At 40.4% G+C, this 25,556-nt stretch overlaps 1 long non-coding RNA gene and 1 pseudogene across 1 annotated transcript in view; one reads left to right on the forward strand and one right to left on the reverse strand.

Moving 5' to 3' along the window:
* Positions 1-23,692: 23,692 nt before the first annotated feature.
* TMEM98P1 (TMEM98 pseudogene 1) lies at positions 23,693-24,727 on the reverse strand (annotated as a pseudogene).
* LINC01500 (long intergenic non-protein coding RNA 1500) overlaps positions 24,499-25,556 on the forward strand; it is a 189,041-nt gene continuing 187,983 nt past the window's right edge. Inside the window, exon 1 of the long non-coding RNA NR_110547.1 lies at positions 24,499-24,766. This is a non-coding gene — a long non-coding RNA (long intergenic non-protein coding RNA 1500). The remainder of the gene's footprint in view (positions 24,767-25,556) is intronic.

Consider the following 25,556-nt stretch of genomic DNA (forward strand, 5'->3'; position numbering starts at 1 on the left):
CGAATTAGAAAATGTTATTCCCTGCTCATTGGAAAGGGACTAGTCCTCAGTCATAGGGACACTTGTGAACTACTGAAGAAAAATGAGGATGGAGAATTACTTGTTTTTTGAGGTATGCTCTATCTGAGGTCAGCTTGGCTTTGCCTGATCACTTTCAGTTTGAGGGTGTGGATTAATTGTCTCAGTCTAGGCTCTATGAGGAGAACCCACATTTTCATGCTTTTTTATCCTTCTCTAGGTTTCAACTTTCTTGCTAAGTTTGGCCTCATCTGGGCCTTCCTTTAGAAGCCCAGTGTGCTATCCATTGCACGACACAGCCTGGGCCTTCCTTTCTAATCCTGGTGATCTGAGCTCTGAAATGAAACTTTTGCAAGCCCACCGCTTGGATTGTATATGGTGAGAACAGCCCTTTCCAAGACTCAGCCAGCACCAAACTGGCTTTCGACAGATCATGAGCTGTACCAGGCCTTGATAGATGTCAAAAAAATCCCAGCCACTTTTGGTTGGCTGGCATCACAGTTGACTGTGACAGGTAAGTCACTGAATGTTGCCTTGCTGAGGAAGAAACATGATATAAGAAAGTAAATGTGTTTGTTAACACTGATCTGGGGAGGATAGGTAAGAATAACAACTGAGGTGAATGTGGAGCTTGGCTGCTAAGGGAATTTTTATACTTATTAAGAAATGTAGGCTGGGCATGGTGGCTCATGCCTGTAATCCCAGCACTTTGGGAGGCCGAGGTGGGAGGATCACTTGAGCTCAGGAATTTGTGACTAGCCTGAGCAACATGGTGAAACCCCGTCTCTACAAAAAACACAAAAATTAGCCAGGCATGCTTGTGCATGCCTGTAGTCCCAGCTACTTGGGAGGCTCAGGCAGTAGGGTCGCTTGAGTCCGGGAGGCAGAGGTTGGAGTGAGTAAATATCATGCCATTGCACTCCAGCCTGGGCAACAAAGTGAGATTCTGTCTCCAAAAAAAAAAAAAGTATAAAAGTATTTCAATATTTTAACAATCAGTATGACTGTATTTGTTTATATCAGCTGGACTTCTATAAGTTCTGCTGTAGTCCATGAGACTATAAGTTGCCTAAGACCAAAGTTGCAGTTTGCTTTACAGTTTAGATTCACACTGAAGGCCGTATTTTGTGTTTGTCTCATCACAATACTTTTTGTTCCATTAAGATGGACACAAATTTTGGGTATCGTAGAGCTGAATGGAAAGAGTTACTGTTGTAGAAGGAGGGGCTACTGGAAAAAATGGGTCAAGGGGGAAAGCATTGGCTATCAATCATTCATCCCAGCAGAGATTTCAACAGAAATTTAATCAGTCAGTCTCATAGCGATTGCAGAACTCTTAGGCACAGTTCAGACTAAATCAGGGTGTAGAGGGAGGCCAGCTGCTTTTGATAAATGACTCGACATGGCTGAGTGTTCTACAAAATGCAACCTTCAGTACTGCGAGCCTGCACAGATGATGTCATGGACACTTCAAATGGATGAAGGCTAATGGATCAAAAGCAGAACCTGATGCCAAAAAAATGGCTTCACTGAGTGAGAACTCAGGGATGAAGTTACTCCGTTATGCAAGGGATTCAGCAGTCTTTTCCTCAAGGTCTTAGTTTGTGGCAAAACTCCATTTTATTTAGCTTTAACCAGAAAACACTAAATGTTCTTAAACTTTTTCTTGACTAATGGATTTGATACACTTAAGTATTTTCTTTATCTAAATTTTCCAAGGCAGATAATTGCTCTAAGGATTGTTAACATTAAAACAGGAGATTAAGGAGACTAGCTGGTAAATCCCAAACACTTGTAACCCTTGACAAAATTCGGTATGCTTGGTGATCTCTACCAACATCTCATCAAGTATGCATGCGTCTAGGTGGAAGATTTGTCTTGGGAAGATGAGTGTCAACGTTTAACCTTTCAAATGTGTGGCAGGATTCTCAGGTGGATTTGCTCCACAGAGTAGGTAGATGAATAATATATACAATGATTACCAGAGTGGACAAAAGCCTGGAAAGACTTGTTGAATGTAGTTTATGATGTTAGAAAAGTGAATTTCCCTAGACATTCGTTCAGCCTCTAGTTCTTAGATGTTCAATTTTATTGTAAAAGAACAGATTACAGGAGATAATTCAAGAGTTGTGGTCATCTACTCATTTTAAGACACAGGTCATACTAACTCTCACCTGGCTTACTTCATCTGTTTAGGATAGGGCTAGCTGAAATAATTGACAATAGTAGATGAGTTAGCCAGGAGACTAAATACAGGTGAAAGGATGACAGCGCTAGATCTTGACACAAATTACCTTAATGGCTGTGCAAATAGTAAGCTGGATACGATTTTTTGAAAACAAACCAAGCTAAACAATCCATTGAAGTGCTCTCTTCCATCTATACCCAGAAACAGCAATTTAGCTTTTGGGAGACTTGGTAAAATAGTAGCTTGGACTAGTGCCCAGAACTCTCCAAGATAATGTAAAAGGAGAGTGTGTGTCTTGGACCAGAGCCATTTCCCTAGAAGATGCAAAGCCAGGCAGGGAGTCTTGGAAGGGTCCTTCCTTATTAAATAGAATTCTCCTCTGTATATGCCTTAGCAACTGCTGGTCTTCAAGGAGAAAGTGGATTCTAAGCTCTTCACCCTGAATAAAGTTTAATTGAGCTGCTCTAGAGCACAAGCATCGTGTGGCATCTTAGATTCCCATGACTGCCACTTTCCTTCTCTCTTGCTTGGTGTCCCACCCTCCTCATTGCCCCTTCATTTTCGGGCTTGGATAAAACACTGCTTTCCAGGGGTAAGATCTGGAGTCTTGAGACTCCTGAGGAGCTGATAGTGCAATCAAGAAGGGAGTAGGTGTTCACTCCTCACAGGGTGAGACTTGACCATTAGGAAATGGGAGATGAGAGAGAGCTGGGCAGTCAGACTTCTTCATTCTTTCTTCCACGGACTACTCTGAGATGCAGTTCCTCTGCACAGCACTTCTTGAGAAGTCCCATGTACCATGCACACATGCCTGTTGAGTGACCTGCTGGGTCTCTTTCTGGGTCATGGGGATGGTGGAGGTGGAAGAGAGGGGGTAGCAAAGTGTACCATACTGCAATGCAACTGTACCTTAACTCATTTTCTTTTCTTCTTTCTCTTGCTGCCCTGGGCTTACATCTCCCCAAAATAGTATTGGCACCTTAAATCCTTGTCCCAGCCTCTACTTTCTAGATTACCTAGGCTGTTAGATACCAGACTAATCATTAAATATTTGACCAGCTCATTAATGGATTGGCCTAATCAATATGTGATACTATCCTTCCTAAGATCTGACTGAAAACTGATTTAAGTCTTTTTCATACTTATGGTTTAGATTTGTGCAATAACAATCAGTATCAGCCCTTCTCAACCAGCATTCCAGATAACTAAGCCCTAACATCCCAAGGCACCTATTGTGTGTAATGAATTAATTTCTCTTCTGTGCACACAGAATGTATCATCCCTGAGAGAATTGAGAAGACAGTTACTCAAATCATTCTTTGTAGGCCTTAATTCTTTTGAGGAATCCTGGTTGTCAAGAGCTGGTCTAAATATTTTCCTGAGATTGTTTTTATTCACATTGTTACCAGACAAGAAATGTATATTTAACTTATTTATAAGTTTTTCAACTCTAGTCTTTGTTTGGCTTAAGTAACAAAGGAAGTGAATTACATGATTATCTCTTACACAATAAATATTTGAATACCAACTAAGAGCTAGGTCTTAGGAAAACTGGAGATGGCTGAGGCTTGTTATCTGTCTTCCTGGAGCTCAGAGTCTAGTGGGAATTAATGTAGACAAATATCACACTATGTGTACTGTAACAGAGGTATATAGAAAGTAACCTAAGGACTGAGGACACAGATAATATTCTCTTTTCAAGTCATGCATAGCATATGTAACTTTGTTGTATCTTAGAAAACATAACTAAATAAACCAAATAAATGTAAAATAATTAAATATTAAAATAAAATAAAATATTAAAATGAAATAAACTTAGTAAACATACCTAAAATAAACCAGCTGTAAGAAAACTGTGATGAAATTTTCTTGATCATTCGTATTACAACAATTTTTCTGGGTTCTCCAAAAAAGAAAAAACCCTTAGTTCTTACATGATATCAAATAGGAAAAGAAGCTGAAACTTGCTAAAACATTCAGTCTTGAGTCCACCAGCTAGGTTACTAATAACAAAGTTTTCTCTCAGTGTATTATTTTTCTGACACTTCTCATAAAAAGAGAGGTAGACTATCAAAAGTTCTATGTAATGTTTTTTGTATTGCTATAAACAAATAGTGCATGGGAATTTATATGACAGCCTGCATTCAAGTGATTCCTGATTTTGTATTTTACAACACTGGAAGGCTAGAAGTTTAGTGCCAGTCTAAAGAGTATCTGCCATTTGTCAAAGAAGCAAGTCTTCAAAAATTTTTGATAAGTGAGGGTCCATTTAAACTCTGCTCTCATATGTATATCTATGAAAATTACTCTGCTAGTTCTAAGGTAGCAGTCTATCACTAACATTTGCAATTTTGGAAAATAATCCAAAGAATTAAAAATTATATGAGTGCTCTAATTGAATCCCTTAAGGGGACTTGGTCTGGGATAATGGCCTTGTTAACTTGCAGGCCTTCAAGGAAAGGTGGGTTTAGTTGTAAAAAAAAGTGCTGTTTTTTTAAAAAACAGTAAAGACTAATTTCGGATAATTTTTCAGATGACAGAGATTAGAAATCTGACATTTACAAATTAAAATTATATTGCAAAGGTAATGAGAATGAATGTTTTAATTTCAAATGTGATGAAAAGTTTTTTAGAATTAAGAGAAGAAAGTAGGGACAGATTTTTGTATTGGGGCACAACTTCATTCTTGGATTTTAAAATGAAAACATTAAGATTTTATCATAAGCTTTGTTGAAAATCTGCCAGAAGCACTATTTTTTTTTAAATGCCCTAGAAGAGGGGATAGAAATCAAAACTCTGTAGTTTGAACTCTTTAGTTTGAAACTCATCCTTCTAAAATTCTCTAGCAAGCCATCTAGGAGACAACTATTTAGAGTTATCTGGATTTTCTGTGTGGAGTCAAAGCTTCTGTTCTTTGGGCTGCGTATTTTGCCTTTCTAGTCAGCCTTGCCCTTGAATCAATAAGAGTTCACAGAAGGAAATGTTCAGGGCTCTCTTGGTCATGAGCCAAGGATAGCTGTGCCGGCGAAGCAAAACAAATCCTCAACAAGAATGTGTAAACAAAAATCATCTGACTAATGCCTGGTACAAAATGATGGCTGGCATTTGTACTTTTGGTTGAATTTTGCGCAAAGGAGCAAAATGATTTTGCTTTTGTTACCCTTTTTTTCCATTGAGCTCTCTGGAGGAGTATCATTAATTTGGAATTCAGGGCTGAGATGGGGTTAGGCTGTCTTTTGCAAGTAATTTTTTCCCTAGTGTAACTTTATCTTCCTTTGTTTGCTTCTATTTGAGATTATTAGGAAACCATTCCTTGTTCAGAAAAAAACAGAGTCCTGCCTAGACCTCCTGATTTCTTTAAGGTTTATTAATTTATTAATTTTTTATTTGTATACATTTATGGGGTGCAAGAATAATTTTGTTTCATGCGTAGATTGCGCAGTGGTAAAGTCAGGGCTTTTAGGGTATCCATCATCCAAATAATGTACATTGTACCCATCAAATAATTTCTCATTATCTCCCTTCCTACTCCCTCACCCTTCTGAGACTCCATAGTCTATCAGTCCACACTCTATTCCATGCATACACATTATTTAGCTTCTACTTACAAGTGAGAACATGTGCTATTTGTCTTTCTCCGTCTGACTTGCTTCACTTCAGGTAATGGCCCCCAGTTGCATTCATATTACTGCAAAAGACATGATTTTTATCTTTTTTATGGATGAATAGTACTCCATTGTGTATATATACCACATTTTCTTTATCCAATCATCTGTTGATGGCACTTAAGTTGATTCCATATCTTTGCTATTGTGAATAGTGCTGCAATAGACATATAACTTCAAGTATCTTTTTGATATAATGATTTCTTTTCCTTTGGGTAGATACCTAGTAGTGGGATTGCTGTATTGCATAGTAGTTCTATTTTTAGTTCTTTGAGAAATCTCCGTACTGTTTTCCATAGAAGTTATACTAATTTACATTCCTACTAACAGTATATTTTGTTTTGTCTACATCGTCACCAACATCTGTTATTTTTTGTCTTTTTAATAATAGCTATTCTGACTGGTGTAAGATATCTCATTGTTGTTTCAGTTTGCATTTTTCTGATGATTAATGATGAGCTTTTTTTTTCAGAAGCCTGTTGGCCATATGTATGTCTTCTTTTGAAAAATATCTATTCATGTCCTTTGCCCAATTTTTAACGGAATTATTTGTGAGTTTTTTTGTTGAGTTGTTTGAGTTTTATAAATTCTGGATATTAGTCTTCTGTTGGATGCATAGTTTGCAAATATTTTCTCTCATTCTGCAGGTTGTTCACTCTGTTGATTATTTCTTTGGCTGTGCAGAAGCTTTTTAGCTTAAGTAAGCCTCAACTTTCTATTTTAATTTTTGTTGCCTATGCTTTTGAGGCTTTAGTCATGAATTCTTTGCCTAGACCAATGTCTGGAAGAATTTTCCCTAGGTTTTCTTCTAGTATTTTTATAGTTTCAGGTCTTACAGTTAAGTCTTTAATCCATCTTGAGTTGATTTTTCGATCTGATTTCTCATCCCTGTGAACTGACAGAAGCCATGGAACACCTCTAGGCCCTCAGTGGAAGTTGAGAACAAACAGCAGGCACAGGAGATGAATGGTACTCAGGGAGCAAACTTTTGACTAATATTGACTCATCTATGTTTAATAGTCATATCAATTGCATTTTAATGAGCATATACTATGTGATAGGTGCTGTCATAATTGCTTCAGAAGAACAACTTAAATTATATTGTGCCTTACTGTATGCTATATACTGTTTGAAAGTACACAGCATAAATGCCTAACATTTATTAACTCCTATAAGCTCCATAACCCTCTGAAATAGATGATATTATTACTCCCATTAAAGAGTGTAGCCTTCATGGGGACAGGGACGTTATTGCACTTACAGCACTCAACATGTACAAACTAAAAGACCCTATTATACAGTTGTGGAAATGAGAGGCCAAGTGTATTACTCTGACCCAGGGCTTCTCAATCTCAGCACTAAGAACATTAGTTTTTAAGAACTAAAGACTAAGGCTGGTGAATAGAGCCATCACGGTGGTAGAGATGAGGTTATGCATGAGCTTAACATTAAGAACTCCCACTTCCACAGCAGATCTACACTGCCACAGCACATGTTCAACTGCCAGAAACAGAGACTATCACTTGAGAAGAGCAACCAGTCTCTTGGTAGCACATGGACTTTTCGTACGCTGAAGGGGCAGTGTTTATTTTGACAGATATCCACACTTAATCCAAGAATGAGTTTGCCTTATCTGCCTTCAGGGCTTCAGCTAGCACATTTTCTTGAGATTTCTTTGATATGTTTGAAGCAGCATAAGGCTGAGCAGGGGCAAGAACCATGGAGAATATCTACTTTTTAACTTGCATATGGATGTCAAGGATTTGTTACTCCCTCAGGAGAACACAAGTATCTGTTTAAATTTCTATCATGGGCTGAGATAATTGGATAAAATGTCATGGGCCACTAGTTATATTTAAGTTAGCAATCACACTCTGCAACACACCACAAACATTGGTGGTAGCGATCGTTACTAACTAAAGTTGGAAAGAAAGGAGGAAGAACAGGTTTCAAAGAAAAAGTTCTTTCAAAATTTGAAGGCTTCTCCATGTCATAGCTGTAGGAAGCAAAAGGGAAATGTGGGAAAAACAGATTGCACTGGGAAGTTGGACTGGAGAAGAGGACAAAGTGGAGTCTGAGCTATGAAGCCAATCTCTTGGGACTCTCCAGCTCATATTCAATTTTCTGTTTCAAGGTTTGAATGGGGGTCCCAATCTTTGGGGATCCTGCTCCAGATGGACATGCAAGGAACATGAAGTAACAAAGGATAGTGTGTTTGGGTAGTGGAGAGGCTGAAGGCCTGAGAGTGTGTTTGGGGAGGATATTTTATGTAAAATGTATGTTTTCTAGGAAGAAGGGGCATAGTTTTTATCTATTGAAGCTTTTTAAAGCAATTTTTCTCTATTAAAAGCCATTGGCCTGAACAGTAAGAATCAGGATTATTCTGGGCAAAAAACATCCTTCATGATTTGTTTTCAGTTTGCCTTTCCAGCATTTACCCTTTCTTCATGCTACTGTTTGCTGATGATAATGACCTAACTCATCATTTTCACACTGTTTTCTCCTCCCCATGCTTCCACAAGGCCATTCTTGTCTGGAATGCCTTTCTCTCCTATCCGCTTCAGAGAATATCTCCTCATCTTTCAGAGAGCCAGATGAGCTGTCGTTTTTTTCCAGATGGCCTTCCTCAGTGCCCAGAGAGAGTTGGCTGGTCCTCCTTTGTAGCCACCTCTGTTGTATGCCTGATAAAGTGGCATTCACTTGATTTGTTATAGGCCTGTTTCCTTCACAGGTAAGTTTCTTAGGCTGGGGGCTGCCTTATTTTCTTTCTATGCTTCAGTGCTTGGCAGATAGCAGGTGACATAATAAACACTTATTGAGAGTGTGAATTTAGAAATGAGTCACTCTGGAGGTGGCTGATCAGATGTCTTCTGTGTAACTTACAAAAAAGAAAAACATTTTTGGAAGTGTAGTAGAAGTTTGAGTTTCTGCAGGGAAGAAGTGTAATAAGTATATGTAAAATAAGTGTTATATAACATGATAGGAAATATTTTCTAGGGAATCTAAGACCAAGATAGAAACCCATCTGTCCCTGCTGACAGAGACACAGTCTGGCTCATGTTTTCTTTTCTATGATTTTGTAATTTATGATTTAAATCCCATAAAGTGAACAGCTGACAAACTAGACAAATGTCAGAATACCGATAATAAGCAAAAAACCCAAACACTTTCTTTATTTTGCCTTCTCTCCATTGTGTCACTCAGTCAACTATTTCCACCCTGAAGTGTTGGTCACATTAAAGGACAAGGACATGAATAGATGCTTGTGAAGGGTTGTATGTTTTGGTAGAGGAAGCATTCTATTTTTCTTTTTTTTCCTTGGGCTAGAGGCAACATTTTTTTTTTTAGATCTCATATTTTTAATTTATGAGGTATTGTTTGTGTTCATTTTCTTCAACATTTCCAAAACCTCACAAATTTAGATGAAGTTAAACTACTATAAAAGTGAAATATCATAGAATATTTTAAAACTAACTACATTAGCTTTTTTTTTTGAGATGGACTCTCACTCTGTCACCAGGCTGGAGTGCAGTGTGCAGTGGCGCGATCTTGGCTCACTGCAATCTCCGCCTCCAGGGTTCAAGCGATTCCCCTGCCTCAGCCTCCCGAGTAGCTGGGACTACAGGCGCGCCCCATCACGCCCGGCTAATTTTTTGTATTTTAGTAGAGACAGGCTTTCACCATGTTGGCCAGGAGGGTCTCGAGCTCCTAACCTTGTGATCTGCCTGCCTCAGCCTCCCAAAGTGTTGGGATTACAGAGTAAGCCACTGCACCCAGCCAGCTTTTTTTTTTTTTTTTTTTTAGTACATCATTAAAGGAAACAACATTAGAAGAATACAACGAAGCATTGATGAAGAAATTGAGTTAGTTATGCTTTAATAAATACATGACTCATTTTTTAAAAGCCTAAATCCTTTTATGTGCAAATAACCACTAATCACTATAAAAGTATTTAAAAATTTAGTTCTCACAAGTAGGATTAATATGGCCTGTTATAACCTTAATATAATACATATGCTTATTTATAATAGATATTTGCTTAAACAGCTTCTTTTGCCATAGATGTTAAAGATATAAGCCTCAGCTCAATTCTGGTCTAATTATTAAGAATTTAAAAAGAATGATTATTCAAGTGATTGAGTTTTCAACTGTACTTTGTTTATTTTAACTCCACTGTTTGCATTACATGAACTATGGACTTGCATCAAGAAAGTAGTGTATATGTCTAGAAACATTTTGAATGCTGGGGGAAGAATTTGACCAGCAGGACGTCTTATTGTCTAAACAGTATGAGGGCCTGTTTGCTTCATGGTGAGAAGATCTGCTTTCCTAACAGATTCTGAAGGTGGAGAACAGAAGGAGATGAAGGACTCTTGTCCTGCAGTGTAAGCAGATAATGGCACTTCAGCTGCTTCGATACACAGGCAGGAGGTTGGACTTAGCAATTTTTTTAGAGACTTCTTAGTTCTTAATATCTGTATCATTAGTTGACAGATGGATTTCTGTCTGGAATCTTATTTCAAGAAAGCTGCCTCCTGCTAGATAATCTCCTTAAACTGTAATTGACAAATGGAATGAATTTCATTTTCCTAAATTTTAGATGAATATACTAAAATGTTATCCATGCCTTCAATCTGTGGAGCCCATTCTTTTAATAAATATTTATTGAGCATTTACTATGTGCCAAAGATTCTGCTAGGAACTGGGATAAAGTGGAGAATAAGAAGGATACTATCCTTATTCTTCAGTGATAGCAACAAACCAGGATTTGAGTGCAAAGACTCTTACAATAATTTTTTTGTGTGTTTATCAAAATTCTGTTCTTGTTCTCTTTACCATTTTAGGTGAAAAAAAGGGGAGATTTTTCTAGGATGTGGTAACTTTTTTTTCTCTATAAAAAGTACAGTCAACCTCTCCAGTTAACTTTTTCAGACCACAGCTTCTCAACTTGGAAATAGTCACAACTGAGGTCAGACAGAAATTCTCTTTGAATTTTGAAGGCCAGTTATTACAGATATGTCCAATAAACCACAGTCCAACTTCTCAGCCCAGACTTTGGGACTTTATGGCTGATGGTAAGAGAACCTATCTTTATATTGTTCTCCTACGGAAACCCTGCGTGAGTCTCCTCACCGCTGGCCTGGCCTGCAGATTTCAGACTCCAGACCACAACATCTACTCTTATTGAATTGCTAGCCTACCAGACTGCTCTGCAGATTTTGGACTTGCCAGCCCCCAGAATTTCATGAGACAATTCCTTAAAACAAATATACTTGTCTCTCTTTTTCTTTCTAAATATATGTATATGATATATATGAACATATATGTATATGTTCTATATGTATGTGTGATATATATACATATAACATTAGATATGATTGGTTTCGTTTCTGCAGAGAACTCTAATACAGGCAATCTGAAAGGGAACAGATATTTAGTATATTGTACTGGAAATACTCAGTGTCCTAATAGATTACATATATTTTGCTGAATTCCACTTAGAATCCACAAGAACATACTGCCAAAACCCTTTGTCTGGTGAGGAAAGCATGCAGGACACTGTCCTCAGTCCAAGGCCTCTGCTTAAAAATGTTGAAAGCATTGTCTGCCTGCCTCCATCTCCTGAGTCCTGTCCCATGGACCAGAAAAAGGTGATGCTCAGACCCTTATGCCATCTTGTGCTATCTTTGTCCCATCAGCAACCGCATGTGGCTGTCTGTGATAAGTAATCGAACAATTGCTTAGGGAAGTACATGTGCTAATGGTGCATGGCAGCTTTACAAACACTGTCTGTTTGAGTTAGACCTGAATTGTCCTCTGATTTAAAGATTCCACTGTGATTATCAGAGCCTTGGGGATGATGCTGGCCAGAAAGAATGTGCATGGCTATTATTGTGCCAATTTTATAATTCATCTTTTAATAATCTGTAACTGAAGAGCTGAATGGAATTTATCAAACCCTGCCTTGTTTCTCACTGGGGAACTTTCTGTGTTTTGTTACTGAGCCAAGGCTGAATGCAGCTGTTGGAGCTGTCACCAGCATTCTGGTTCACCCAAATATTGATAATAATTACTTCTGCTTCACATGGAAAGAATTTATTTAAATATCTGTAATGGAAAGACCGTTATTATTGGTATTACAACTTTACAGTGAGTACATCAAAATGTAGATATGACATTCATAAACTGTGTTTGCAAAAAGCTGTATCTGTCTCCTGCATAGTACACAGGACCCTGGGCTAGTATTGCTGCTCATCTGTTCTTCATAGAAATAGGGAGAAGTTATTACTAGAGAATAATTAAACCCACAGAAACGTCCAAATGTTGGCAGGCTGCAGCCATCCCCAACACCGCACAACAGCCTGTTATGATCAGCGAAATCCAATAGCCGGAGCTTTGAGCCTGAGGGGGTAAATAGCATAATGAATTTTCTTTACCCTGTCATTACTCCTCTCCTGGCTTTCCTAGATTACAGTCACAAGCAGGTCACAGAGCATTTATGCACACTTCGTGCAAAGTGCTTTGGAGTGGAGGCTGGGTCTTGGTCTAACTGGTGGTGATCAATGTATCATTGCGAGGAATGAAAAGCTGCTTCTGACCCTTGCCAGCTACATCACTGGGAAGCCCTGTGCTAGCACAAGCCCATTGCCCCATATTTCCTCTTTGGGTTTTTCCTTTTCTGTTCTCCTTGCCTTCCCCTATTTGCTTGCTCTGGTGGTCTTCTGTCTCCTGAATCAAAATCTCTTTGTTCTTTATCACGTGAGACATGTTTGTTGCTCCAATTAAGATGATTTTATTTCATAGGTAATGTCAGATCACCTCCAAGGGAATGTTTGAGTAGCCGCCTACTGTAGTGAGGACCTCAGCTGAGGCTTACTTGTATTCACAGCAATGGGTTGCCCTGTCTGTTTGCAGGGGCTAAGGAGATCTTGTGAGAAATACCCCTAGGGAGCAAGGACTTTTCTATCAAAGCCTTACTTGTCAGAGGGAAAGAGAAAGACTGAGTCTAGCCCTAGGGCTGTTATGAGACTGGAATCATAGCTTAGCTCCTGGAAGCATGTTTGGGCCTGGAGGAGAGAGAGAGCTGCAAGTAAAAATCATGCCATTATGTTCTGTGACAAATTAGGGCTCAGTGACATACTGTTTAGGGACCCATCCAGCAAAGTGTAACACAGAGGCGGCGAGCCCCCTCCCCCGCAGGAGAACCGTAGTGCCCAGAGCAACTTGGGGCCACAGCACTCTGCCCTGTCTGCCAAGGGGCCACCAGCAGAGGCCTGCTATGCCTCTGGAACTGCAGAGCTCAGCCAAACAGGATGGCAATCCCTGGGGCAGTCCGAGTGCCACTGGAATATTCCTGAATTAATGGATAATATACCTTTGCCCTTGTCTGACACATGTGGTCCATCTTGGATACTTAGTTCTTTCCTCCATGTATTGTGAGTCCTTGGCCAGGAGGGCTGAGCTAATTTCCTTAAGGAGGGCTTCTGGATTTCCCAGGTGAATGCTGCATCCTGATCTTAGCTTAAAGCAGGAATAAGAATAGTTTTTCCTTATAACACAGATGAAGTCTAAAATTGGACCAGCTTTCCAATAGCCTGTTTTCTAATAAAAAAGTTTGTTTTCGGTGGGGCGCAGTGGCTCACGCCTGTAATCTCAGCACTTTGAGAGGCCAAGGCGGGCGGATCACGAGGTCAGGAGATCTAGACCATCCCGGCCAACATGGTGAAACCCTGTCTCTACTAAAATATTTTAAAAATTTAGCTGGGCATGGTGGCAGCTTGCACCTGTAGTCCCAGTTACTCAGGAGGCTGAGGCAGGGGAATCGCTTGAACCTGGGAGGTGGAGGTTGCAAGGAGCCAAGATCGCGCCACTGCACTCCAGCCTGGGCGACAGAGCAAGACTCTGTCTCAAAAAAAAAAAAAAAAAAGTTTATTTTCAAGAAATAGCTTTTGGGATTTAACATTTCTTAAGTAGATTCCCTGGGAAGAAAACCTGAAGGAAAATTTAGGAGACATTAATGTCCTTAAGATAGAAAAACACTGGGTAGAAAAGAAAGTGATGAAAAGAATGTTATGCTTAGCCAAGTCAGCCATTTGAGACAAAACTCCTCTTGTTTAAATTGCAAACTATCTATTTTGGCCAATGAATGTAGTCTTAAAGCATATTCTTAATTTCAGAAGCCTTTGTTACAAGAAAGCCAAATAATCGGGCTTTACAGTTTCAGAGCACTTTTCCTGTTTTAAAATGGCTTTGAGTTCAGAAGATGAATCATGTAATTTTGTAAGAATTCCTTATAATGTAGTATGAAATTATGCTCACATGCTCTGAAGTGTTTCTAAATAGCTCTGGCCACATCTTGGATATTCACTGTCTGAGAATGTATAATTTAAGAAATCATAACAAGATGGCAGAATTTCATTCTAAAGGATTTTCAAGGCATTGATCTCCACTCACTTCAATGTTGTTTAAGTTCTTTTCTAAGACAGCTCTCAGCTCCTGCTACCTTCACCCCCAAAACCACAATTTTCAGAACTCTCAGGATGGGTTCTTCCAACTTGGGATGGTGGTCTGTAGCATTGTAAAGAAGGAGTTGATTCATTGAATTCTTTCCTCTTATTCAATGCCATGAATTTAGGGCCTGCCTTCTGTTCGATATTTGTTCTCAGCTTGCTGTCAGTTCCCTGCTAAGTGATTATTATGACCTTAGCTTAAGGCAGGTGGACTGACCCACCTTTCAAAAAATTTCACAAAATTTGGTGTATTTCTGGAAGGTGGGAATATTTTAGGAGGGATTTTAAATCAGAATCTTAAAGAGGTTTGTAACATTAAAAAGTGGAGAAACCAAGGAATTAAGGAATGTGCTTATTGGGCAGACATCTTGAGGACTCTAGGCTAAAGAGAAATAATGATGAAATAAATGGTGATGTGATGGATAATTTGAGGCCTGGGAATGTTGATCAACACCCTTTAAATTCTACTATCTACAAGGCTGGTTTTGTTTGTGAGTTTTTCCAAGCAGCTAACAATTTTTTTCTTTCTCTTTCATATGAATCAGTGCTTTGGGTTTCTTAATTCATGTTTTGCTTGTAGGTATACTTCTCTTACAGGAGTTGTTTCGGTCCAGAGAAGTTGCATGCAGATGAATATGTGATAAATTGAGTACTGCTTTAACTTCTTGAGGTTGGCAGATTTTTAAAGAATTTGTGTGTGTGTGTGTGTGTGAAACCTTTGTAAAGTGAAGTATGACCAAATAATTCGTTTACTTGGAAAATCCAAATTTTTCATATATCAACTCTACTTAAAATGGGGAGATCTTTCATAGTGCAGTCTGCACTGAACCACAGCTTTTATCTGTGAAGTCAGGGAGGGAGTCAGATTCCCTGTCCTTTCCCACACTGCAGCTGCTTCTGAATATGGTACTTATTTTCTACTTGGACATTGATTACAGTAGAACCATGTGTCTATAGAATTAATTTATAAAAAGAGAAACCTGTTCAAAAAGGAAGTTATTGGAGACTTAGAATTGCTAGATTTTTATTTTTATTTTTGGGGGAGGAAAGAATAAAAAAGCCCACAATTCTCAGCGAACAAGATAGGTCCCTTAGTGTCATTGTAATTTTAATATTTTTAATTTCTTTATGGAGGAAATGAACATTTAGAAACAGAAGTCTCATGATATTCAACATGTTCTTTAATTTTTAAAGTTGATTTTAAAAAATACATATATGTGTTTCTGGATTATATTTGGATATATAAATATTTATGTACTCTGTTCCACTTTTTCTTTTGTCACTATTGTTTATCCTCACAGAGCATTGCAGGCACCAGCCTTCATGTGGGCCAGGCTGCGGCAAGAGTAGGGACAGCACCATGGGCTGGAGAAAGAGTGTAAATGACAACCCAAGTGTGCACAGTCCATCCGGTGCTGTTGGCTGTGTGGGTTTGGGTGGGTTTGCCTTGGATGCAGGGAAGGGGGTGGAGGAGGGTGAGAGCAAGCCCCAGAATCAGTACAGCATGAATGTCATTGGAGCAATAAAATGGGGAAAGGATGGAAAGAGCTAAGTTAAAGAAAATAAAGGACAAAATACATGAGAGACAATCATGAAGTATAAAGGGGAGGAAGGCATAGGCACTAAAGTGGAGGGAGTGGGATGGTAAGTCAGAAATACTACAGTTGGTACCACTCATCTGTGGTTGCTTCCATTTCATCATCAGAGGAGGCTGGGGTAAGGTGTGGTGGCGCAGAGAAACAGGCTTAGGCTGTAAAAGGGATGAGAGAGATACAGGGGAAGAGAGGAAGTGAGGGGAGTAGAAAGTACTGTAAATGAGGGCAAAAGGTAGGATCTGAAGGGAGGGGCTGGCCTCTGTTTGCAGCATTAGGAATAGGAAGTGTTCACGTAAGACTGAGAGTGGAGGGTTGGCCTCAGAAAAAGTAGTTTTCTAGAGTGTTCTGCTTCTGCTTCCTAATTTGCTCTCTGCCACTGAGAACAGGAAGGCCTGAGAAGACCCTCCTTCACTCCCCCAGCAGAGGACGGTCTGGGTGGGAACAGTGAGGCTGAGGCAGGGCTGTCCTGCTGGTGGAGACACAGTCCCCCAGAGAGAGCCTGCGGTGTGGACAGACCATGGCTGTGGAGTTGGGCAGATCTGCCTCTGTGTGCTTCCTTGGTGACCTTGCCCAAGTAATTTAACTGTTCTAAGCTTCAGACTTTTTATCTATAAGGTGGAAATGAAAATATCTACCTTCCAAGGTTGCTGCTATAAATGAGATACGGGGCAACATGGTTAAACTGGATTCTTAATCTCCCCTCTGCCCCTTTTGGTAAATTGCCTAATGGATGTTGGGAATTCTTGCTCTGTTGGAATGCCCAGGGACAGCCACCAAGAAGCACATGGTTACCTGGGGACTGGAGTAGCCTTTGGTCCATCATGGGCCTGGTCCCAGTTTCACCTACTCTAGTGGTGACAGAACTTTTGCTATTGGGGAGGCATAGGCATCTCCAAGACAAGTGGCCTGCAGTGCCAAGGTGCCCAGGATGGCATCAAAGTGAGCAGTGTATGGCTTATGCATCTTTTTGGGTTAACCCCTGTTTAATTTTTCTACAATCCAAATGTATACAAAGATAAACATGGCCAATTGACTTCCAACTTTTAATTTTGACTGTAATAATTATATACTTTCTCTAAAAGATACCTGTAGACCTCTATGCCATCGAGTCAATTATAAATAACAGTGGAATAACTGAAAATTGCTTGCTGTTGGGGGGCCTGGAAACTTTGACTAGTACTCTTAAATTCTATAAGCTGGCCTTGCCTTCAGGTTCTTAAAATTAGCCCAGTTCTGTCTTTCTCTTTCATATGAGTAAATGAATTTTGGTGTCTTGAACTTCTGTTTCATCTGCGCGTGCACTTTTCTTCTCTTCAAGCTTAGGGTTGAGATTTCATTCATTTCCCTCTACTACTACACTCTTCGTTCATGTGCTCATGCTCATCTTCCTCCTTTTCAATTCTTAGTTACTAGATTTGGGCTCTTATCCACTCTGCTTTTCTGAGACTCGGTTTTTGGATCTGTAAAATGGAGCTAATATTACCTTTTTTTCCCCCAAGCTATTGTGAAGATTAAATGAAATGATGTAGTTGTTAAGCTACATAAAAGGCCCTCAACAAATAATAATCATGAACAAAAACATTGTAGAATGAGATTCTAAATATATTTATATTATTAATTTGCAAAAAGTGAGATAAGAGATGAAGCAGAAAAGGCAACTCAACTAAGATTGAGGAGTGTATGTGTATTCATTTGGAATATCTTGTCCCAAATACATTTTCTGAGAATTTTCCTCTTAACTATATTGTTGCTGGGGAAGCAGTCACCATGTGGCCGGTTCCTGGTCTGTAGGTAATTTTTTCAAGGATGGGCACCTGAACTAGACTAGGTCAGTGAGTCTATTCCTTGGAATCTTTGGAATTCATGAGGAAGTTAAGGAAGTGGGTTGAGAAGGAAAGAGAGCCAAGCGCAGTAGAGCAGCTAGAGTAGAGGAAAGAGGCAGCAAGGCTCCGGACAAGGCTTGAACCCCAGTTCCATCTGGTTCTGATGCCTGGCTATATTTCTGTCCTTGGGTTCCTTGAGGTACCCCTGTATCTTTGTAGTGATTATTCTCCCTTTTGCTTATACTAATTTGAGGTGAAGTTCTGTTGCTTGCAACTAAGGGCCCTAACTAATATAATGATCAACTAGATATAAAAATTTCTCAGGACCTCAAGAGCAGGGTAAACTGAATTATCTATAAGGTCTCTTTGATTTCTGTGATTTTATTTAATTTTAAATTTTTTTTTTTTTTGAGATGGAGTCTGACTCTGTCACCCAGGCTGGAGTGCAACGGCATGATCTTGGCTCACTGCAACCCATCATCATGGCCGGCTAATTTTTGTATTTTTGTAGAGTTGAGGTTTCACCATGTTGGCCAGACTGGTCTTGAACTCCTCACCTCAGGTGATCCACCTGCCTCAGCCTCCCAAAGTGCTAGGATTACAGGTGTGAGCCACCGCTTCCAGTCTTATTTTAATTTTTACATTTTTGAGACAGAGTCTTGCTATGTCACCTACTGGAGTGCAGTGGTGCCATCTTGGCTCACTCCAACCTCCACCTCCCAGGTTCAAGCGATTCTCCTGCTTCAGCCTCCCAAGTAGCTGGGATTGCAGGCATGGGCCACCATGCCTGGCTAATTTTTTGTATTTTTAGTAGAGACGGGGTTTCACCATGTTGGCCAGGCTAGTCTTGAGCTCTTGACACTAAGTGATCCACTGGCCTCAGCCTCCCAAAGTGCTGGGATTACAGGTGTGAGCCACCATACCTGGTCTGATTTCTGTGATTTTAAATGTGTGTGTGTGTGTGTGTGTGTGTGTGTGTGTGTGTGTGTGTGAAGAAAGTGATGGTAGGGTCTGGGCAATCACAAGGTTCTTTATCTGTTGCCAGATAAATGCAGAATAGACCACAAATGATAAATGAAACTAAAAAATGTAATTTTATGGACAGTAAACTGTTGAGGGGGTTGCAAGCTGCATACATGCTATGGTTACATAAGAATTAGCAACACAGCTTTTGATTACTTTCCTCGAGTTACTTTTTAGCTCTAGATGTTTAGGAGCACGGTGTAAAGGTGGCAGAGAAAGGTTTCAAATAATCATTCTAGGAAAACAAGGAAATACAATTGGGAATTGGTAAGTCTGATTCTCCAGAGTGAGATGATGCTAGCGTCATATGATTGTCCCTGAACCCTGAATCTAGGATAGCTCTTTTCAGATAATTTCTGAGAGATGAGGGGTGTCCTGCCTTTGAAATGGGAAGGACAGATGCCCTGCAGCTGTCCCTTCAGAAGGAAATGTGCCAGGTGCAAGATGCCATATTGGCCTCTTGACGATGACTTATGAGCTCTGAGCTTCAATTACCATGAGCTTGATGGAGATGTCATTTGTCATTGTTTCAGGGGATGTGCTTTGAAATATTTGAAAAAATAAAACTCAGCCTTATCTTATTAATTGTTTATTTTTAAGGGATCTTTGTGCTTATCACTTTAGATGGGTGACTTTTGTTGCCTTATCTATGCTCTGAAAGAATAGTTGACTATCTGCCTTTTAGCTGGGGTTAGCTTTCACTTAGTCTAAATTAACTCAGTTTTGCTCCCTACTACACATGAAAAAGCCACTAATTTACCAATAAGTACTGTTATGTTCAGCTGATAGGGTGGAGCCATCTGTCTATGGGGGTAATACTCTCTTCTCCCACAAGCTTTCTTGGGTAGTGGCTAAGAGCCCAGACTCTGTCACAGGACTGCCTGGGTTTAAATCCTAGCTGTGCCACTTATTTGTGTCACCTTAGACAAGTTACTTAATATATCCGTAGTTCCTAATTTATAATGTGAGGACAATGACCTCAACTGAATGGGTAAATATATGTCAAGCACTTCGAACAGTGCCTGGCACATGGCAAATGCTATGCAAATGTTTGGTAAGTGACTTATTTCTCCATTAGAATAAATTTAAAAATCAAGTCTTCTTCCTCCAACCAGAGATTGCCTAAAACCACACAAAGACAAAATTTGTTTGGTATCTGATGCTCATGTAAGAATGGATCCTGGCTGGGCAAGGTGGCTCACACCTGTAATTCCAGCACTTTCAGAGGCTGAGGTGGGTGGATCATGAGGTCAGGAGTTCGAGACCAGCCTGACCAACATGGTGAAACACCGTCTCTACTAAAAATACAAAAATTAGCTGGGCATGGTGGTGTGCACCTGTAATCCCAGCTACTCTGGAGGCTGAGGCAGGAGAATCGCTTGAACCTGGGAGGTGGAGGTTGCAGTGAGCCGAGATCCTGCCATTGCACTCCAGCCTGGGCGACAGAGTGAGACTCTGTCTTAAAAAAAAAAAAAAAAGAATGGATCCTGAAGAGATAGACTGCAGAATGTAATAAGGGAAGGAGGCCCCTTGAAAAAGGGCAGGGCTTTGAAACAGGAATCCTATAGGACAGTTTAGCCACAGACCATCCTTGTCTGGCAACCTTCTACTTCCAAGCAAGGAGCAGCAGGGCAGGTTGCGAGATCTGCCTCTTCTTCATAGTTCCTACTGTCATCTCTCTGGAATCCTACAAGCCAGGGTTTCCTAGGGAAACTCCCAGTCAGAACTGTGATGCTTTTTCCACTACAATGGCTCAATTGTAGAGTGGGTTGGAAATAGGCAGACTTCTGATTCTTCACAGCATGTTGATAGAGAATAGGCTTCAGGTAAAAGAAATTACCAATCATTTTTCATTATCCAAGGTATCACTCACCCACTCCAAGGAACACGACTGCGGCAGCTGTGAGGATGCCAAGCATCAGGCCCCAAACCATCTGGCAGATCAGAAGGGGCATTTTCTGGCTTGGGGAAGCTGACATTCAGTAAATTGTTAGTGCTGGCTCCCACAGTGATCAGCCTGGCTTCAGGCAATGGCAAGTTATGGTGGGCAAAATGAAGCCTTGATATACAGGTTGCACAATCTTAAGAGATTTTTGGTTTTTTTTGTTTTTGTTTTTTTGCATGGCATTTTCTTTCCCAAAAGGATGACTTGAGAAGCTTTTGTATACATTGTCTTGTTACATTGGTGGGTGACAATTTTCTATGGGTCTCTCATGTTTCTGCATGTCTTGTGAGCAAAGACACTGCCTACAGATAGCAGATATATTGTCTTTTCAAGAATATGTGTTTAGAGATAAGCCTGAAGTTACTGTCTCTCTCTTGAGCAAAGGGCAGGCATGCTTCGAATCTAATCTAATAAAGATAGTATCTTCCTCTGAAGAAAAAGGCAGATATGCTGATGCTATCCATTGTGAAAATTGTGGGCTTCCTCAGAGCAGGATCCCTCTCCTGTGATGCAACCCACGATGTGTGCAGATATTTATCATTCTCTCTTTAGATGGTCTCAAAATTGGAAGTCGGGGCTTGAGGACTGGCAGAGATTTTTGACCTGCATTCTTTCTAAGCTTATTGAGGTTGTGGAGCATATTCATAGCACCAGCGATTCAAACAACTGAATGTAATTCTCAATGGTGCATTCTAGCTGTATAGATCCAAAATCTTTTTTTTTTCTGCCAGCTTCCTGCTGTATGTCTTTTTATTTCTGTTCAAAAATGGAATATTTTGGTCAAGTTTCAAGATTTAATATGGGCCGGGCGCGGTGGCTCACGCCTGTAATCCCAGCACTTTGGGAGGCTGAGGCACGTGGATCACGAGGTCAGGAGATTGAGACCATCCTGGCTAACACGGTGAAACCCCGTCTCTACTAAAAATACAAAAATTAGCCGGGCGTGGTGGAGTGTGCCTGTAGTCTCAGCTACTCGGGAGGCTGAGGCAGGAGAATGGTGGGTGAACCTGGGAGGTGGAGGTTGCAGTGAGCCAAGATCGCGCCACTGCACTCCAGCCTGGGTGACAGAGTGAGACTCTGTCTCTTAAAAAAAAAAAAAAAAAAGATTTAATATGATAACTTGTACATTATTATGTCTTTCCTATAAAAAAATCTACTTCCCTTCCCTGAGATCCATCCTGGTTTTACTTTTCTCCCCCTCCAAGAAAGAGTTCAGCCTTTCTAAGGTTCCATTCCTGGACAACAGTTCCGCATTTGCTTAGTTCCATAAATAGTAAGTAACTGAATAGGGCCTTTTTAATCCTATCCAAGGTATGTCTGAATCCAAATCTTATGTGCTTTCTGCTACATCGTTCTGCCTTTCCATAATGAAAAGAGCAACCACAAATATTTATTGAAGATTCATTCTGGCCAGGCACTGAAATAAGAACTTCACTTGTATTCTCTTCCCTGATCCTTATAACAATTCCAATGGGGTAGATTCTGTTATTATCATTTTCACACAGATGAAAAAACTAAGGCTTAGAAAGTTATCTACTGTGTGCTAAGACAGCTAGTAACTGATGGGGACGAATGGGAACTCAAGTCTGTCTTCTTTTTTTTTTTTTTTTTGAGACGGGGTCTTGCTCTGTTAGCCAGGCTGGAGTGCAGTGGCGCGATCTCGCTCACTGCAAGCTCCGCCTCCTGGGTTCACGCCCTTCTCCTGCCTCAGCCTCCCGAGTAGCTGGGACTGCAGGCGCCCACCACCACGCCCGGCTAATTTTTTGTATTTTTAGTAGAGACGGGGTTTCACTGTGTTAGCTGGGATGGTCTTGATCTCCTGACCTCGTGATCCACGTGCCTCGGCCTCCCAAAGTGCTAGGATTACAGACGTGAGCCACCGCGCCCGGCCAAATCTGTCTTCTTAACAACCAGGCTGCATTGCCTCCCAGGAAGGTCCTGCCCAATTGGTATCCAAATAACATGTAAATGAAGGATGCTTTATGGAAATGAATTATACTGAAGGAGGCTTTATTGAAATGAATTATACTACCCACAAAATATTCATTTTAGGTTTTAAAGGTGTCCTAAAGCTAATTGCAATGAACTGAAAATTACATAGTCTTGATTCTCTATTGTGAAGAATCTTCAAGAAGAAACAGTTATACCCCTTGTTAAATTTTTCAGACTTGCTATCTTGGCATTTAATAATTTATACCAGTTAAGATCTTTTCCCTCTACTAATGATGACTATTGAGTAATTTATTAATCTTGGTTTGGTCATATTGAAACTACGTTGCTTTTATAGTGGTGCTAGTAGTAGAATAAAATAATTAAATCATAATAAAACTGGGCATCTATTTTCTCATTTATACCAGTGCCAGGTATAAATGACTATCAAATCGCCCATCAACTAAGAATGATTTTTAAAATCTCTTTGTTTGCTTGCTTGCACAAGCTTTATATTGCATGGTATTATTTTATTTTTTCTTTTTTTTTGGAAACGTAAGTATAAATTTACTATCCACCTAGTGGTAGCTAGGTAAAATTGCAGGCATAATGATAAGAAATAATCAGCTTTGTAGTTCTCATCTTCAAACCCAAACCTGTAAGGGGGAGGACAGACTCAAACGTCTCAGGGACCAGGCAGATAATACAAATAAATGAAATAGGCCAGGTGAGAGAGTACAAGTCTTGCCAAAAGGAGCAACCCCTATTTAGCTTCGATTGATTGTCCTTTTCTGAAAAGCAGATGAGAATTGCCATACGTTCTGACTGATCGAGAGAGGCCAGAAATTCTAATTTTGATGTGAAACCTCTTGATTTCTTAGATGGTGGTTCAATTTTCTTGAAAACACTAGGTAGGCTAAATGAAGCTGACAGTCCACCAGTTTTCAATGCTCCTCTGTGCAGAGTGAATGGCATCTCCCCTAACTGTGGTATTAGACTGCCACTCACAAGCCACAATTTGCAATTGCAACAGAGGCACAAACTGACAGAGATCTCCTGCTTTACTATGCACACACAGCTGAACTCTTGAGCCGTGGAGAACAACTAATTCTACAGGAAAAAGTGGAAGGCTAATCTGAGCCACCCAGTGATGGCGGCAGGGGTCTTCAGGACTAGCTGCTGGTCTGTAGGCGCTAAATTGCAGACTGCTCCTGCAGGAAGCCTTCAGGGCCTGGGAGGCCTTTATCTGGCTCAAAAGCTAGGGCTACTTCTCGAAGGACTTCCAAATGCTCCTCAGCAGCTGATAGTGACTGGTCAATCCACTCCAGGCCCCCCGTCAGATGGCAGGCATTCCTTGTCACCAGCACCAGGCGACTGACAGACAGGAGCAGGGTAGTCGTCCCTGTGTCCAGGAGCTTGGGGTCCAACGGAGGGTACATCGACTTCACAACATCATCTACCCTGGGGCTGTTCCACTTGGCCACCACAATCATGTCGCTGACAATGGCTGAAGTCTTCATCTTGGCCCCAGAGCCCATTGTCATGGCAACAAGCTTCTCTGTCAGAGTGTGACAAATCTTCAAGATGGCAATGCAGTGGGACATGAGACCCGAGGCATCTTCGATCCAGTCTTTGTTCTCCAGAATGGCCTCAATGTGGGGGTTGGTGATAACAACGTCATCCAGTTCTAAGAGGGCTCAGACTGGGTCGCCATGGCACTGATGAGGTCCACAATGGGCTTAGAATCATAGCGCTGCCGCAGGTCTCGGGGCTGGTAGTAGCGCTGCCTGCAAACCAGCACCAAGGCTGCAAACGAAGCCAGAAAGATGGTGGCCAGCACACCTATGGCAACTATCACCACGGTCTCCATGCTTCCGGGGAGCTCCTGACTCAGTCCCGTTCACATCGTCCTCATGGGCTAAGGCTGCTGGAAGTGGCAAACTGGGGGAAGAGGATGGCAGGAGCTAGGTTCCTCCACGACACCTCCAGAGACCTGAGGGCCTCAAGCTGCAGCTCCGGGGCACATCCCGCTGCGCTCCCACGACGGCCCCGCGGATGGCAAAGTCAGCGGTATTATTTTCTTTAATTCCTTTGTTAGAGCTCTTAAGTTTCATCCCGTAAATGGTACATTATTTGAGCTTTATCTGTATGTTATAATATTTATGAACCATTATTCCAGACAAAGGAAAGAAAGCCTTACCAAGGCCCATTAGATGCTTCGCAGTATTCCAGAGGCAGCATAGTAGGCAAAAAAGAATTGTGGTGGGTTAAATATGGGTCCAAGCTCAGTGTCTCTATTTACCATTGGAGTGATTCTGGTGAATTTCTTAATCCCTATAAGCCTCAGTTTTTCACCTATGAAATGGGATAATATTATCTAGCCTATAGCGTCTTTGTGAGCATTAGAAAGAATATGTATAAGTTAACTGGCGTGTATTAGGTGCTCAAGAAGCTGAACAATAATCACTGTTGTTTCTCAGATAATTATTATCACTACTATTAATCTCTCATTATTTATCAATGCCCCTATATCTCTGTGGATCTATTTAGATGTATAGACATGAGGTCTTACTAACTAAATGATAATCATAGAAATATTCCTTGTTATTACATTTTTTTCAAGCAAATTTAAATATTTTTCTCACTTTCTACTTTCATGAAAGTTAAATTAACGTTCTCTGGGTGCAAATATATATTCAACCATAAGTAGATATTTCTTACCAAGCATTTAATTCATTAAATTTCAACTTTAAACATTAAAGATTTCAAACTGTAAATATTAATTTCAAACTTTAAACATTAATAAATTGGACCATAAACCTCTCTTAATTTGAAAATTTTGAACCTTGAGGCATTAATA

Source organism: Homo sapiens, chromosome 14 (genome assembly GCF_000001405.40).
Source record: "Homo sapiens chromosome 14, GRCh38.p14 Primary Assembly".
Lineage (NCBI taxonomy): Eukaryota > Metazoa > Chordata > Mammalia > Primates > Hominidae > Homo > Homo sapiens.